The following is an 18,901-nucleotide window of genomic DNA, read 5'->3' as shown; positions in this document are numbered from 1 at the left end:
ATTCTCCTTGTGTCCTACAAACAGGGTAACAATATGTCCCAGTTTGCTCTGGATAATCATGGTTTATGCCTATTGTCTGTGTTAGTTATTTCATGGCATTCTTGTCATAATATTTCACTCCTAGAAGTTTAAAATGTATGTTACCTACTAAAATTAATTATTCAATAAAAACTGAAAATTGGCCAGGAGTGGTGGCTCACACCTGTAATCCCAGCACTTTGGGAGGCCAAGGCGGGCAGATCACGAGGTCAGGAGATTGAGACCATCCTGGCTAACACAGTGAAACCCGTCTCTACCAAAAATCCAAAATCAGCCGGGCGTGGTGGCGGGCGCCTGTAGTCCCAGCTACTCAGGAAGCTGAGGCAGGAGAATGGCGTGAACCCAGGAGGCGGAGCTTGCAGTGAGCTGAGTTCGTGCCACTGCACTCCAGCCTGGACAACAGAGCGAGACTCCGTTTCAACAACAACAAAAAAAACTGAAAATCAGTTGTGATCAGAGGTTCACGGGTATACATTAGTACTAAAAAAAGTTGACCAATTGTTCAGTTTCACATATAACCTTACTAATTTAATTTTTCATCAAGAATGTTTGTAGAATATCTTTGCCATATGATACAACGTATGATGCACAAGGATCATACCTTTAGAATTTGAAGTTTCCATATTCGTTGCATTCTGATATTTTATTATTTAGATGTTGGGATTATCATATAAATACAGTGTGAATCAAACGCACATAAACACAATAGTCTGATGAAAACACACACAAGGTGGAGTAAAGCACTGAATTGTGTTAGGATTGGTGGTTCAGATGGAGTTTATAATTGAAGAAGATCGTGTAAATATCTTTCTGTCCGTGTAAAAATTTGTGTGCTTGTTGGAAGTTTGCTTTGGTCCCTTGAATATAGACCCATTCTTGTGCTAAATTCTTCAGATCTAGAACTTGCAGGGTATTGGGGAAGAGGGGGACAAAAGGGGAAAGGAATTAAAGCTTATTCATAGTAAACCAAAGAGAATACAGCAAATTATGTCTTCTTACTCAGTACTGAAGGAACTTTATTTTTCTGTTCCTTTGCTTCCCCTCATTTCTTCCTGTCATATTAAAGAACTAACCCAAAATCATAATCTCCTGTCATTGAATCTTATCTTTCCTCCCCCTTCTCCCTTACATTACCTCCATTGGAAATAGAGTACTTTTTGAGTGAATGGAGTGAGAGGTAGTTGGTAGAAATCATTAAGAATTTTGTAAACAAATCTCATTTTTTGAGAAACTATATAGTTTAATATTCATTTTATTATTTTCAATGGACTATATTTCACAATTTATGATGCAAAGCATTGTCTTCTCAAACTGGCATAAAATATATATGGTGTATGATATAAAAGTGAGACAGATTTCTGCTGAGTCAAGAATGGTAAATTTTCAGGGTGTATTCACTTTTAGTTTTGTTCAGTATAACTTGTTTGGCTAAGAACCCTCCTGAGTATATGTATGCTATTTATTTCAGAAAAACATTTGGATCGATAACAAACAATAAAGCAAGATTCATATACATTTTATCCTTCAGACTCAGTTCCACCATGTAAGATGAAATGAATACTTTCATACATTCCTAGGAAGGCGGCAGAAAACAAATGTCAAAATGCTAAAACACTAAAGTGCCCATATCTTTGATTCAGTTGTTCCCCAGATTTCACGTGTCACCCAAGATGTGGGGAAATATTATGCACAAAAATGTTCATCACAGCAGTATTTTTATTCATGAAGAATTAGAAAGCACATATATGTTTCACAGTAGGGAAATGGTCAAGTACATTATAATATATAGCATGTGTATAATACCATATATACATTTTTCTGTCCTCTTTTTTCCAGATAACATTATAACACAACCATTTTCCAACATTATTCAAAGATCATAAAATGCATCTCAGTGACTGAATTGTATTTTCCTTATTGACCACATCCTGAATCTATATAATTGTAATAGGAATAAAATCTTTAAGAAAGATGAAATGTCCTATAAATGACTTTGTCTTCAAATAAGAATCTAGTCTTGCTCTAAGATGCAAGAATGAGGAACACTTCATTCTTCCATAGTTACTCAAAGATGTTTTAGTTCCAACGTTAGGAACAATTCAAATATTTTTAGAAATATCAGGAGGAGTAAATTGTTTCATTCTTTGCTATGAAACAGAATGTTACAGAGCTAATTCTCTGACTAAAGTGGTTTCTAGTTGACTGAATCTGAGTGATAATTTTCTATACATAGGAGGTCTTTCACATACCCTATATCACCTTTGAGAGCCATATCAAAAATGGGGTGAGGCAACGCAATTGATTACCAGCAGAGAATGCTGTACTTGAGATGCTTTTATCCCCTTCTGTTTTCTTTAAAGCTTTACCTACAACTAGCTGAATTTTCACCTGAAAATATTGTACTCAAATGTGAGGTAAGAAATAAACCTAAGGAGTAAATTCTGACCTGCACATATTTCCACTGGAAGAAAGCTGTGAACTCCATCCCACCGTCCTCACTCTAGCAAAGCACATATGAACTTCAGTGGGAATTCCGCCAAGAGCAAGATGGTGAGGCAGAGCTCGGCAGTGTCAAGTTGGATTAGTTCTGTCTGCCTTTGCCTAGCTGGGTGTTACATAGGACGGTGTGCTTTTATTATGTTTAACCACTTGTGGTTCAATATATTTTTATCTTCATGGACGGCTAAATATGCAAAATGTGGTGCAATTGCCTTTTATGGAGGTGATAAATTTAATTTATAGAATACACATAATATGCATGTTTGTAGAAAACATATTGATCAAACCAGCTTCTTTTACTATACTTAATATGCAGAGAGACTGCAACATTTCATGGCATTAACATATGTTGTCTCAGCCAAACAAAATGAAAGAAAAAAATTAATAATATTCCATTTTTAAATATTTCTTAAAATATCTTCAGTAATTTGTGACAATATTCTCACAGAGGAGTCCATGCCCACAGAATATATTCTTGAAGCTCCCAGAACAACTAACCTGTCATATCAATGAAGAGAAGCAAATTGTTGGGCAATTTACTTTACGGAACAATTTAGTTTATTCTATCAAAAGTCTTCACCCTGGGAGTTCCATGTTGTTATAAGTCAAGTTCCTTAGAAGCAGTCCTAAGACAAAGATATGCATGCAGGTTTGCATTTGCATGCAAAGATTTGCAAGTAACCAAACTGGAATATCCTCCAGTAAGATACCTGTCAGGGAGTGAAGGAAGTAGCCGAAGATTGGAACTGTGGTTAAATTACAACAGAAGCCTCAGGCACTCCTACTATTGCTCTGAATCTGGGATGGCCCTTCATAAATGCCCAAGTTGAGTTAAGACAGCCAGGGTTTTGTACTTCTACACTGAAAAGTCATTGGAAGGGAACTGCCCCCAAGGAGAGGGTGTTACCTGGGGCAAAGTGGTTGCCTTCACAGAGCATCAGCTCTGGATTGAACTCAGCTGTGAGCCATCAGCAGGCAACACTCCTGGTAGCTGGGGATGGGTGTCTTGGTCCTGAAGAGGGATTTGGGCAGCACACCACAGCATCTGCTACAGTCAACCTCTTTCACAACTCAGGTTCACTGGCTTCAAATAATAAGTTTATGACACCTAGGCATAGAACCCTAGATGTCTGCTATTTTCCCATCATGGGGAATACGAAGTGACCAGGTGGCAACCGTAGCTTAAATTTAATGGGATGCTTGCCATAGACCCTGGTAACAGTATTTCCCCTCTGTGAACCAGGACCCCAAAACTTCGCAAGTTTTGGGGGACAGAAAATGCAAATTCCCAAGCAAGTCACTGGGACTGATGGTGAAAAAAAAAAAAAGTTCTCTCTTATCTTTGGTTTTCAGACTAATGTATTCTACCTTTTGGGTACATAGCATCATAAAACGGCCTTCAAACAGCTATTTTATTGCTTTTTCAGGCCAGCATCTTCTCGATGGTACAGGACGTGATAGGACCAGTGAATCCTAAGGTTATGTGTCCACTGCACATAAATCATGGTCTAATGCAATGTGATATGAGAGTCTGTGTCAGAGTGTTAAATACTCTGTAGGCCTTCAGATAGTGGTGCTGGTTGTAAATGAATCTTTCGCCAGTCAGGCCACTGATGAGAGACCACAGTCCTGGTCAACATTTGCAGGTCAGGCTGATGAGACATTGACTCAGAAAACCCATTTAATCTGTGCCCAGACTCCTGACCAACAGAAATGATGGGATAATGTGTGGTATTTTAAGATGTTAAATTTACAGTAATTTGCAATGCAGTGTGGAAAATTCATACAGGCCCTGTGGACAATAAGGCATATACAAATATGAAATATTGTTTATTATACTCAAATCGAATTGTTGCATTTCTTTTCTTTTTTCTTTTTTTTTTTTTTTTTTGAGACAGAGCCTCACTGTCTCACCCAGGCTACAGTGCAGTGGCGTGATCTCTGCTCACTGCAACCTCCTTCTCCCAGGTTCAAGCGATTCTCCTGCCTCAGTCTCCTGAGTAGCTGGGACTACAGGCATGCATAACCATGCCTGGTGATGGGATTTCGCCATGTTGGCCAGGCTAATCTGAAACTCCTGACCTCAGGTGATCCGTCTGCCTTGGCCTCCCAAAGTGCTGGGATTACAGGCGTGAGCCACCATGCCTGTCCTGAATTGTTGCATTTCTAGGGCAGAGGGAGTGAATTGTGATCAACTTGCTGACAAATGACTGATTTGTCTCCTCAGGAGATGGTGCTATATTGAGGGTTTAGCATCCATCTCTGTCGCTTGCAGATTTGACATTTGGCAACAATAGTTGCTATTATTTATCAGCCCTGGTGAGTGGGATCCTACGCTGCTTGCGTCTTGCATAGCTGCCATTCCTGCCTCCATGGTTATTCTGTTCATATGCCCATTGTGCCAATACTTGAGTGGCCAATGACAGAGACTTGGCTCATGTCCACTGGCTTGTTATCCCATCTGTTTGGTTGTTTAGTACATTTTCCATAGTGGATGCCCCAGTGAGTGTCAATTTGTGATATAATGGCCTTCACACTCCATGACCATACTCACATTTCCATAACCCTCACCAAGCTTATTGATGCCAACCTTCCAATCTTTCTCCTTCCAGGACCTTCACCAAACAGTCAAGCTTTTTGCCACTATAAGGCTATATATATTCTAACACTGGGACTCCTTTCTTTCCACACAAAGAGAATAACCCTTCACTACATCATCTAAAACTCTGTTCATTGGGGAGACTTCCCCTTTCCACTGGTTTTCAGGATGAGATTGATAAGCTAGTCAAAAGGGTCACCCCCATATAGCCATAGGCATGAGGCATGAGCTAAGAGAGAGGCACTAATATAACAGTGGTAGATTCACAGGAATATGGCCCACCTCCTCAAGGAGCTTGATCGTGCCCTTTGGCTCTGCCAGTTCCTAACCAACCACAAATGCAGTACTTCCATCTTCTTTTTTTTTTTTTTTTTTTTTTTTTTTTTTGTGAGACGGAGTCTTGCTCTGTTGCCCAAGCTGGAGTGCAGTGGCTTGATCTGGGCTCACTGCAACCTCCACCTCCTGGGTAGCTCCTGCCTCAGCCTCCTGAGTAGTTGGGACTACAGGTGCAAACCATCACACCCAGCTAATTTTGTATTTTTAGTAGAGACAGGGTTTCACCATGTTGGCCAGGCTGGTCTTGAACTCCTGCCCTCAAGTGATCCACCCACCTTGGCCTCCCAAAGTGCTGGGATTGCAGGCATGAGCCACCGCGTCTGGCCTACTTCCATCTTAGATGGCTTCTGGGACCACTTGACCATATGACTTGACAGGTCATAGAGTTCTCAGATCATGATGGGCACTTCTGGCCACTTGGTCATGTGGTATCCAATAGTTAGTATCAGGCCCAAGTGAAAGCCAAGAACAATTTTTCAAATGGTGTGTAATTTTCTCCTACAGATCACATGGCCTTGCTTCAGAACTCATGGGTTCAATATTGTGATTTTCCTATTGTAGTCTGCTGTAAACCCCCACACAGCATCTTTTTCCAGCACTGATAATTCTAATATGAGAAAGTCTGCCAGGTCACATGGCCCAAGCTAAAGAGCTGGTTGTGCTTCAGCCTGGACCTGCTATAGAATTATTTTCTGCTCAGGACCCTACTCATATCTGGACACCTTCTGTGTAACTTGGTAAATAGGCTAGAGCAATATTCACAAGTCTGGAATATGCTACCTCTAGAACCCAAAGTGGCCTACCAGACATTGTGAGATATGTAAGATGTAATAATTTTCCATTCTCTTTGGAGGGAATGTCTTGACATCCCCCAGACTACTGGACCCTTAAAATCTTTCCTGGCTTGGTAGACCCCTAAGTCTTCACAGAGTGTTTGCCTCCCACCTTCTGGAATGCATGTGTCTTACCAAGGTTTACAGCACACTTGCCAGTTCTTGTTTATCTGGCTTGATTAACACAATGTCGTCAATGTAGCAAGCCAATGAGATGCATGCTCGGCATCATGTCCCTTTGGACTATATTATGACAGAAGATAGGAAAGTTAACATGGCTTTAGGGAAAGACTGTAAATATATATTGTTCATTCCACACGAGTGCAAACTGCTTCTATTCTATCTTCTTGATAGAGATAGAAAAACACATTAACCAGATCAATCACTGAATACCATGTACTTGAAGCCATGTAAATCTGATCTAGCAAAGATACCACATTTGGTACAGCATTGCAATTGCTTTATTTGGTCGAGTTTACAGAAATTCAGTGTCATCTTCCAGGATCAATTGGTGTTTGCAAGGGCCAGAACACTGAACTAAATAAAGACATAATTGGGACCACCATGTCTGGGTCCTTTAGATCTTTAAGAGTGGCATTTATTTTTGTCATTTGCCCTGGTATATAATATTGTTTCCTTTTTGCTATTGTCTGTGACAAAAGGCAATTTCAGAGTATTCCACTTAGCTTTCCCACTATGATGGTTCTAATCCTATAGACAAAAGAATAAATGTGGTAGCTCTACCAAGTACCAAGAAATATCCATTCCAAGTATATGCTCTAGGACTGGGAAAATAATCCCTGAGTTGTTTCGTGGCTCCAGTGGATCTATTCTGAGCTGCTACTTAAGCCAGAACTATATTTCCAGGCCCTAAAGATCCTCATACTAAGGGGGTTATAGTGATGCTTTGGGTCTCTGGATCAATAGCCCTTAAAATACTTGGTCATCCCCTTCCCCAGTAAACAGTTACCCAAGTAAATGTACAGAGGTCCTTTGGGAAAGGACTAAGAGGATCATTAGTGAATGTACTTTTTATGATGATGCAGGGTCCTCCCTCAGGAATTCCGGGTCTGAAAACTGGCTCAGATCTAGAAACTGGGCAAGGGATCAAGAATTTTCACTGGAGCAGTTGCTCTCAGCATTGTGATTGTCCCTCCCTGAATTTCTTTGTTTTATAAATTGAGCATGCCCTTGTCAGCTTCTCACCTGTCTTGCCCCTGGTGGCCTAGGTTCCATTAATTGTCTCCATAGCTCTCTGCAGGTAAGGACTCTCTGGCTGCTACTCCAACCTTGTCACTCATTATGAAAATTGTGCATTCCTTGCTGCTATAGATGAAGTGCTACCACCTGGCCTCTCTTACTTCTGTATCTTATCATTCCTATTACTACTGAGAAAGCTATTTCTGTAACAGCACCTTCTACCATGAGCTCTGGCTTTCAGTGAGCAGTCATTGAGCATTTCTGTGATACTCATGTCCCTTTCTCCAACTCATTCCTCATTATTTGGGTAAACAGTTTCCTCTAAGCACTTCCATGGAGCACATTCAAGGTGTTTAGTTTAGTTTTCTAGTCTACTATATTCACTATAGTATTTCCATTTTACTGGTTCTCTTGAGTCCTTCTATCATCTGCTATGGCACTTTCTACTTTGCTTGGTATGAGCCATCACTTTCTGTAAGCTTCAAAGTGCCATTAAATAGCATGTTAGCTCCTTCTATTGGGTTCTTTGACAGAGTATTATATCCTCATTCCAGAAAAATGTTCTCATATCAACAAATTCACTCCTTTTTATGTTCCTTATATTCTACCCCCTAATTCAACACCTCCAGGTTCCAGTTTCCATACATACTCTTCTGGACCTCCCAGGTACATATTGGCTAGGTCTTGCAGCTCCTCAGGCCTGACACTTAACCATTTTAGAATATGTTGTGACATAATTCTAGTTATTGGTCTGGTAACCAGGAAGAGAAGTAGGAATCGATTCTGAGGGAATGGGCACATGTTGTCTTGGTCAGAGGCCTCTGTATTTCTTCGAGTAAGGGAGGAGCATTAGCCTTTAAGAGGGAAGAGTAAGCCACTTCTGTAGACTTGGAGACTTCAGGAAAATCTGGTAATTTGAGACTTAAAAGAATACTGACCCAGGGTCACAATCAGGACCCAAATTTTTTGCAGAGACAACTTGAACGTTAAAAGTTCAGCCTTCTTTGGAGATAATCTGCTCATATTGTTAAGTCCTAAGTGAGATCCTCAGGTTTTTCACTCTCCAGCTGCATGAGATAGGAGTCTCTTTATATGCTGCTAGTGAGGCCCTCTGGCTTTTATACGTCACCTTAATTTGGTGATTAATCTCCCTCGGCCTTTCATGTCTTCTCCAATGCATGGATAACTTGCAACAGTAGCTATCCAGAAGGCCGGGCATGGTGGCTCACACCTATAATCCAAGCACTTTGGGAAGCCAAAATGGGAGGACCACTGGAGCCCAGGAGATCAAGACTAGCCTGGGCTAGGGAGACCCCATCTCTTCAAAAGATAGCTATCCAGTGCTATACTCCTTTAATTACTATCTACGCCTAAAGTCTAAAACACCTGAGATATTGCATTTTGTGATACATTTCTTTCTGCTCGTGTCCTATCAAAATTCAACATTAGTGAAAATTTTCACAGTTGCATCACTACCCTACCACCAGTAATGGAGTTCTGATTATGAACCAGCCAGCAAATAATTCAACTTCAAAATCCCTTTTTAGAGTTTGCCTCTAAGACCAGCCTCATTATCAAGTGTCATAGGTTGAGTTTTCTATAAAACAAACACTGAAGCAGAGATTTGTGGTTTATCAGAGAATGCTCTCAGATATGACATGTGTAAGCGAGCAAAAGAGTGGGGACTTGCCAGAGAGAGATGCTGAACTGTAAGGTAGTCAAAACAGAGGCTTCCACCCATCTCATGTGGAGCTCTGAGGCTGGGATAGCCCACCAAAAGTATCTCAAATTGAGGCATGGATTCACTACTGGATTCAGGCTGGTCCTGGGGAAGGGATGTAACTTGGGGTAAGAAGCTGCCTTTGGCAAAGGGAAATTCCTAGGGTAAGCCAATGGCAAGAAACACCGTGGTCCCTGGGGAAATGAGTGCTTCCATCCCAGTGGGAATCTGGGCAGCATACCCCTGAATTCACTACACATGTCCACACAAGGTAAAGGGGGCAAAGGAATATCAGCCAACTTGGCTCTTCTAATGATGGAGAATATAAGCCCAGGTAAATACAAGCATCAAATAATTCCAAATCCTACTTGCCTTCAACTTCACAAAACAATGCAAGACCCACCATCAAAGACAGAGAACACTCATCCAAACTCATTCTTGCCCATCTGTGGTGAGGCATTCTGTCCTTTTTAGTCATCCCTGCTGGGGAAAAGAATCAGGACTGTAATCCCAAGCAAGTGGCCACACAAATAGCTTTTCACTTTCAAATAATCAGGTCAGCTATTTTGCAAACATCCACATACCCATTTTGTGTACCTTCATTCATGCTATAAAACTTTCCTCAGCACTGCAAGCACTGTTTTAAAAACAAAACTTATTTAAAATAGACCATGAAGCCCTAAGATGTAAGGGGGATATGTAAAAACACCTAACACAATGCATACTCTATATGAAATACAGAGTCATAGTCCTCCGTAATAATCTCTTACTAATCAGTTCTGAGCTTTATAAAACAATAGGAGTGAAATGACAATGCTGTCATTTGTATATTCTCCCTCAGTTCTCTAATGGAAAGCTTTTTTTCTCTGCCAAGTCATTCCTGACAGTGTTAATGATTCACTATAAAGCAGTTTCTGGGCTATGATTTGTGACATTCAGACTGGATAGATGGGAGGGCTCGGCGGGTTTCTGGGGAGTGTTTTGGATGCAGAAATGCCTTGAAGATAGCACTTTATTATATTTAGGACAAGTATGACATCCCACTTCAAGGAATAGGCCCCTATACATATTGAGAAGGGATTTCTATGGTTTAAGTGGGGAGGAGAAGCTTGGTTTAAAAGAATGCCTCTGTGTGTTTTTTGAGGCGACATAAAGATAGGAAGCAGAGAAATGGAGGCAGGAGGCAGAAGGATTATGGATAATGGAAGAATTTTGCCTGAGGGTATATGCCTGCTTTGCCTATTCCTGTATAACTAGAATATTTATAATTCAAATACTTATCTTTAATAATTAAAAACCAAGGAATATTAAAGACAAAAGGTAGAGAATATTATGTACACATGTGTAGGCATCATGCATTAAATCCCCACCCTTGCAAAATACAGCAAGAGGTAGCTTTAAAAGGAGGTTAAAAAGTGAATATTTTAAAATGTCTTGAAAATGGAATTTCTAATTCACTCCAGTTCTGCCAGCAGTGATACCCTCACTTCTGATTTCTACACACACCATCAGTCATGGGGATAGGTACTAAAAATATCCAGCATGGTGGTTTGACATCAACAATTAAAAAGTGGATACAAATATTTCAGATTTCAAAACCATAAGGCTTTCCTCCAGATTTATGAAAACATTGGCTATGCACAGGAAAAGGAAAAGTCATTTCCAATTGTTTCACAGAATACTTCATTGCACAGTCTATGTAAACTACTAGTTACAATAGAATGTAATATTCTACCACCGCCAGGAACTCTCTCTGATCTTCTGCCTCTTCTCAGACAGCAAAGAAACAAAGAAAAACAGTCATTGCAGTGGATCGAAAGAATGTTTGAAAAGCGAAAGAGACCTCAACTGTGCCCCCTGGTATTATAAAGCTGTCAATTATAACCTTGATTACAATGAAAATACCGAAATAAAAAAATTATTCATGGGGGGAATTCATTTAAAAAGAAAAAAGAGAGAAAGAATGACCCCAAAAACCATAGTGTTTATTTCAACCTAACAATTTTAAAGGTAATAAAAAATAATACAAACTAACAGAACAAAATTGTTTATAATACAGCAGCAGAAAAGCAGAATGCTTAGCAGCCAAAATATGAACAAATTAAGATGCCAGGTGAAATGGTCAGGTGTTGTTTTTGAAGAATGTGGCCTCCATGGCAGCAAGTATATGCATGATAGTATCAACTCACGACTAAAACCAGAGGCGTTAATATTTACACCTTTGCTAATTATGGCAAGAAAGAGATTAACGAAGAATTAAATGTTCCTGTCTTTTTACCTCCCCATCACACCAAGTAATTCCTGGTAGAACATTAACTCAACCTGACAATAATATCCTGTGGGTGGAGAAGTAAAAAGGGGGACCCACATATCTTTCTGTTCTTTGCTTATGCATTTAAAAAATAGTGATAAGCAATGACTAGGCATTGATTATGGCCGACGACAAAATGAAAAGTCACACTTAAGATCCATTTTGTGAACTGGAATAAATTCATTTCTTGAACTGGGATTTGGGCTTCACTGCTATAATACTTGATGCACTAATTACCTTTTGTCCGCTCGAGGCGTTGCGGCTTTTGTGCTATGGAAAATGACAAAGCACCATGGACCAATAGCATCATCATCAAATCCTATATTTTCCAAAGATACTGTGTATGGGGTCCCAGCTAGGGTTAACAAATCAGAAGAAAACAATGATTTGCTAAATATTAAATTGGAGGATAATAATAGAAATCGCCCTCTTCAAATAAATTTTGTAAATCGAAAGAAATTCTAATTTAACAAAAATATTGTACAATGCCTGCCTGAAGATGGGACATTTGAATGTACAAACTTCTCCAGATTTATACTACCCAAATATCTGCAAGATTTGGAAACTCAGCAGTTGTCAGCATCATCTAATACTTTTCTTGTGTTCAGTAATGAGGGGTAGGCTCACAGAGAGGGGTCCTTATCTTCTTCTACTTTTGCTGTTTGTCTTACATCCTTCTTAGCTTTCCACAAAGTGCAATCATAATTAAATTCTAAAGCAAAGGATGAAGTCAACCGAATCATCATCCAACTAACTGCAAATGATGATGGTGAGAATGACAATGTTACCACGCTCTTCTTCAATTCTGGCTCGACAGCATTTAACTCTGACCTCCTGCAATAATCAGTGCCATGGGCTGCTTAAATGCTATGCAAAAGCATTTATGTTTTATTTGTTCTAAATTTCCTGGCTATTAATTTCACAGTGTGACCTCCTATTCTCCTATTATTTGGCAGATTTCACTATAGCCTTCAAAAAGCTAAAGATTTCCATCAAGCTACTTTCTATTTCTCCGGCCTGTCTGGCCACCTTTTATAATATGTAAAATTTCCTGTTTCTTTAACCATCCTTGTGACTCTTTTCTGAGATTCATGTTACATATGTCTTCACAATACTTAGGAATTTATTTCATTCCTTAAATTTAATAGAGGCTTGCATTCCTTAATCGTTTTCTCATTTTCTCAAAATTCCAAGAGAAAATGCTTGTTTGTTGTGGAGTTTGTAGTGAATAGTTCTTATGTTGTTGAGTAATTTAAAGCTTTTCCTTGGTATTTTTCTCATTCACACATGAGAAACTGTGGGGGACAAAGAATGACCTCGATTACACTCAAAATAGAAAAACAGTGATAGCGTCAATTCGCACAAACTAGGGGTCATTGTAATTTCCTCTGGATTTTTCCTGGAGTTATGAACCTCCCACTTTTGGCCTAGATCTTAGAACTTAGAAGGAAAAGCAGTTCATTTATTGCTGCTCCAATTGATCCCAGAGGGGCTTTTGGCTATTGGTTGGGGAAATGTATATCTCAATTCAAGGCCTTACCTGTTTTCTGTATATGAATGTAGGAATCTATAAATTGGACTTGCTTTGAGGAATTCCAGGCTCTAGAGCTTTTGTGGCACTCTGGGATCTTTTTGAGCAGCTGCTCCCATCCATCTTTCAAAAATGGTCCAGCGAGGAGCACTAAGGTGGCACCCTCGGTACTGTCAGCCCAATCCTAAAGAACACACAATTCTAAGTGGCTTTCTAAAAGCTCAGCTCCATCGTATTTACCTCCATGCACTCCATCAATAAAAGCTATAAGGGATTTGTAAGAGAGCTATTGAATAGGAATGATAAAAACTGGAAACCAGATTGCAGAAAAGAATGAGTAACAGTGGTTCCAGATCAGATAGTCAAATGTTTAAATTTTTTATTTTTTTTAATTTCATCTTTTACTTTAGATTCAGGGAGTATGCAGGCAGGTTTGTTACATGGGTATATTGCATGATGCTGAGGTTTGAGGTACAAATGGTCCCATCACCCAGGTAGTAAGCATAGTACAAAATAGGTAGTTTTTCTTCCTCCTCTCTCTAGTAGTCTTCGGTGTCTATTGTTTTCATCTTTGTGTCCATGTGTACTCAATGCTTAGCCCCCATTTATAAGTGAGAACATGTGGTATTTGGTTTCTGTTCCTGCGTTAACTCACTTAGGATAATGGCCTCTGGCTGCATCCATGTTGCTGCGAAGGACATGATTTCATTCGTTGTATGACTGCATAGTAGTCCCTGGTTTATATATACCACATTTTCTTTATCCAACCTGCCATTGATGGGGACCTAGGTTGATTCCATGTCTTTGCTGTTGTGAATAGTGCTGTGATTAACATACAAGTGCATGTAATAGAAGGCTCAAGCCTACACTTCTTGTGAGGGCAACAGAAAGCTTTCATTTGTTGGAATATTGTGGGAACTGAAACAGAGGAGAAAGGAAGATTGACAGCACTAGAGAACCAGAGAATAACTAACGAAGTGAGTTCCTACACAGTATATGAGTATACCCAAGACTTCTTTCTTGAAGAGCCTGTCTTTCCTCCAATAACTCCTCTCTAAGAGTTCTTGGAAATCTGCATGCTCCAACTTAACATATAACATTGATAACAATGAGTTTGGCGTTAAAATATTCCCTTAAGATAACTGATACTCTCATTTTACAAATGAAAAACACAAGCACGTGCCACATGTTCCATGTATTAATACATATATGTCAGTAATATTGCAAGAAGCAGGTGAAATAGCATAAAGTATCAGAGCCCCTACAATGCACATCCATCCAAGAGTGGATTAGTAAAGTCATCTTCCTATAAAAGGATAGTATGTATAGGGTTTTGATTTTCCAAACTTATTTATATCTGTTATTACATGTTATTCTCACTGTGTCATAGAGTTGGGATACATTTTACCCCAGTTTCTACAAAGCTGAGTGGGAGGAAAAGTGGTCTGGAGATGATTATGGCAAGAAAACCTTTAAGTGACACACCAAAGGCAGTAAAAGTGACAGCAAGTTCTCCAAAATAGGATGCCAAATCCGCCCCCTACTTTTCTTTGCCCTAGATGGTGCTTTATGTTAAGGATGTTATTCCAAGCAGCATAATTTTACATTAAGCTATTAAAAAATGGCACAAATATACCATCTTCTATCCAAAACATACAGTAAAGACTATTTAATAAAGATTATATAAGCAGCTTCCTCAAATTCCCAAGATTTCTATTGGAAACAAATAAAAACGAATAGAGAGACATTGGTAAGATTCTGTCACATTAGAATTATTATCAAATTGACTGATGGACTATAAATAATAAGCAGTTATTAGTAATGTGTCATTCAATTGGGGACAGTAGGGTTCTATAGGGATAGGATTAGGGCCAGTGCTAAATGAAATGTCCAAATTAATGCCCTGATGGAAAAAGTAAATAGCTGTGAGCATACCAAAATAGAAAGAACTGCAAGCACAGTGGAAGATCTTAGGTGGAAAAATTTAAATGGAATGAGATTTAATTTAGATAAATCTATAATAACTTGCTCATGGGAAAGTAATTCCTATCTGAGTAATAACAAAATTCTTCTAAAAGAACAGTAAAGTAGAAAAAGGATTGAGGGTAGTGGCGAATATTTTCTAAGCATTAAAACTGAAAAATCATTGGGGAAATGTTTTTAAGCTAAACCCAAATCTTCAGAATTCCATCATTTTTAAATGAGCTCTAAATTTTAATTCTAAACTATTATTTCACATTCACTAGTTTGATAAAACAAACTGCCACCTGAGTATCCCCATCTATGACTTCAAATTACCTGACCAATAGTTCCACCTTTGTTTGATGCCTGGAGTTTAGAAACAAACAATCCCAAAGGTTGATAAGATCAACACTGTAAAAGTCCAAACAAACCCATTGCACTTAAATCCCTCTACTTCAAACAAGAAAACAAAGAGCAGTAAACTGGTTCCAAGAGAGAAGAATCTGGTAGAGCCAGTCATAAATTAGTGGCAGATGCAAGATTGTAAACTTGGAAGTAGGTGATATTGCATTGTTTTTTAGTCTTTTCTTTTAATACTTCAATACAGATAGTTCATAAAAGAGGCCCAATAACAGTTCAACAGTCAAAGTTAAGAAAATGTGATCTGATTATTTGACAATTTTGATAAAAATGAAAGTAAGACTTTAGCAGACATGTGCCATCAAACTCATTTCTTTTTCTCCCTTATATATAGCCACTTACCGGCTACTATGCCTGCATGGCCTCGGTTTCTAGCTGGAGTGAAGATGTAAACACTAAAACTGAACAGGATCTAAATCTGGCAATAAAAAATAAATTGTTAGTATGTTCCTAAAAATGATTCACTTGCTCAATTTCAGATTCTTTTATTATGCAGTTGGTCTGGAACTCTTATTCAAAATATAACCATGTTTGCTGGGTGCGGGGCTCACGCCTGTAATCCCAGCACTTTGGGAGGCTGAGGTGGGTGGATCACTTGAGGTTAGGAGTTCGAGACCAGCCTGGCCAACGTGATGAAACCCCATCTCTACTAAAAATACAAACAATTAGCCAAGCATGGTGGTGCGTGTCTGTAATCCCAGCTACTGGGGAGGCTGAGGAAGGAGAACCTCTTGAACCCAGGAGGCAGAGGTTGCAGTGAGCCAAGATTGTGCCACTGCACTCCAGTCTGGGTGGCAGAGCAAGACTCTGTCTCAGAAAAAAATTAAAATATATATATATATATATGTCCATGTATACCAGCAGCTTTTTAGTTTGTTTTTGCTTTAAACTTTCCTTTCTACACATTGAAAAAAAGTTACTAATTACTATGATTACATGACTAAGTGTAAAACTCTCAAGACAGGGGAAAGTTATGTCACTAAGCCAGGGTTGCAATGAGTAATTCTGAAGCATTTAGTGGGGTGAGGTGGGAGGTTGGGGGGTGTCAGGCAAGACCAGGCAGAAAGCTTTAATTTCAGTGAATCATCCATAGAGTAAGGTGTCATAGAAAAAGGTGTAACCATTTCTAGCTGCACTTGTTTAAAATTTTCATTCTTGGTACAAAATTGGAGATAATGAAAAATTCAAAATATTTATATTTCTACATAATTTACTTATATGTAAATTAATAATAAAAGTAACTATTTTTCTCCAGTGTTCAAAGTTCCAAAAAGTGTTGGGTTGAAACATATCATTTGAAATTTTATGAAATTTAATTTAGTAAATGTCCATAGTCTTCTCCAATATCAGCCCTTTTTCTAATTTCAATGAACAAAATTTGCTGTCATTTAATTTTCAGAGTTTTCTTTGGCAATAGATGACTTTAATTTTAAGAGGTTGAATATGGTGCAATAATGGCATTATTTTTGGATGACTTCAACTCGCTCTACTGAAACCGAGCTCTCAGACAATTTTCACTGATCAAACTCAGGCCAAATTCTTGGTTCCTCAAGTTTCATTGATAATTATCCCTGGATAATGTTCCTAGAGATCAAACCTTTAAATGTTTGGATTAAACTTTTCCATTCAGAAAGTTAAAAATGGATTAAATCCATTACAGTTTTAGATAGGTGACCCTAAAGTAACAAAAGGGACATCTTACAGAAAATGTGCTTATAAAATAGGCTTTTAAAAATTACTTTCTTCTTTAAACTCCATTGTAACAGCAGAAATATAATCTGCTATGGACATATATAACATTCCTTTCAAGGCAAATATTTTGTCGTGGCTACTTGTTTCTGATGTGTCTTTGAGGACATTTAGTATACCCTTAAGGTAAGAGCCATCAGATGGCAATTCTGTCTCAGGCACGATCTGAGAGGATGCTTTGAGGGTGGCACCCCAAGTTGAAGCATGTTCACCATTGTCCTGCCTGCATCATGTTTATTTAACCTCATGTAGACTCACCACATTGAAGACAACAGTAGCCTCCAAAAAAAAAAAAAAACCAAAATGACAAGATACAAGAATCCAGGGACTACAGACTCATATTAAATCTCTTCTCGTCTGTTTGTATGTTGTTCAATCATGTAGAATGCCTTGCACTGTGCTGCTCACATATGATTCTATGTATCATTTACATAAAGTACCATCTTCTTTTTTTTTTAGAAAAGTGTGACATGAGAGCTTTGAGGATACTTGAAGCTAATTTCCAAAAAGGAGAATGCTGTAATGAAGCCATTGAACAATATTTGAAAGCAACTTGCCCGCAGTATAGGAATAGCAATTTTAAGAACTGTTTCAAAGAAAGCCACATTAAGAAGTAGTGGCTTGGAATGTGGGAAGGGGGTGATATAATTCATATCTACTGTGTATAATGCAAAATAAGAACATAGAGGAGATATGCTCATAGGATTATGTTTATTTCCTCAGAGTGTTTGTTGGGAGCTCCTCCTCACTCATGATGACACCAAGCAGATAGATAGACCTGTATAATTCTGTCGGTCTCTGAATGTAAAGGTCACAAAAATAGTACTGATCCAGCATATAAATACAATTATGAATGTTCCCTGGCAGGCATGCATTCCTGAATCCTAAGAAATCTGGTTGGCAGTTAAAAAAATCATTTGTAGCTCCCAGTGTTTGATGTTAAATTCAGGAACACATATGAAAAAAGATTCAAGAAACATGAATCAGAACTATTGCTTCACACCGCTATGATTAGCAACATGCATATTTCTAAATCTAAGTTAAGTTGTTTTCTTAAATGACTGAAGAAAGAATTATTTTTTGCAAAACTAGATCATGTATCTTACACCATAGTGACTGATTACAGGTCTTTGGCTTAGTAGGTGATGTTTCCCCAGAGAAGAAAGTATTTGTACTCTCAAGGAAATAACACTCTGCAGTGTTATTCGATGTGGTGGGTGCATTTATTTTATGATTCCATCTACCTGAACTTTCTGGTGTGATTCCAGAGCCCTCCTGCTTTACCTTCATTCCCTATTGGACTATGAGCAGCCCAGAAAAGTCATAAAATCAGGCAGTAAGAATGTAATGCATCATAGATATTTCTTTATACATTACAGACACTTGAAGATTCATTAACTAAGATAATCACGTGAAAGTGAAGGAAGGATACAGGGCCTGATGCGAGTAAGGCCCTCAGTAAATGTTCGTTTATTTCCTTCACCTTTTCCTACCCTCCTTCACTCAGTCTTTCTCTCTTTTACCAGCCGTGATCTCATTGCTGCATCACTACACCGTAGAAAGCAGTCTAATCTCGGTGATGCCAATGCATGTAATATCAGCCTATGCTGCTGAATTTGGGATACATAATATGGTATCTGCCTAGGCTCCACTTTCTCAAGTTGCAAAATGGAGAGCTCATTGTCTGATCCACTGTTCTGCA

Source organism: Homo sapiens, chromosome 15 (assembly GCF_000001405.40).
Source record: "Homo sapiens chromosome 15, GRCh38.p14 Primary Assembly".
Classification (NCBI taxonomy): Eukaryota; Metazoa; Chordata; class Mammalia; order Primates; family Hominidae; genus Homo; species Homo sapiens.
Note: the sequence above shows the minus strand (reverse complement) of the source record.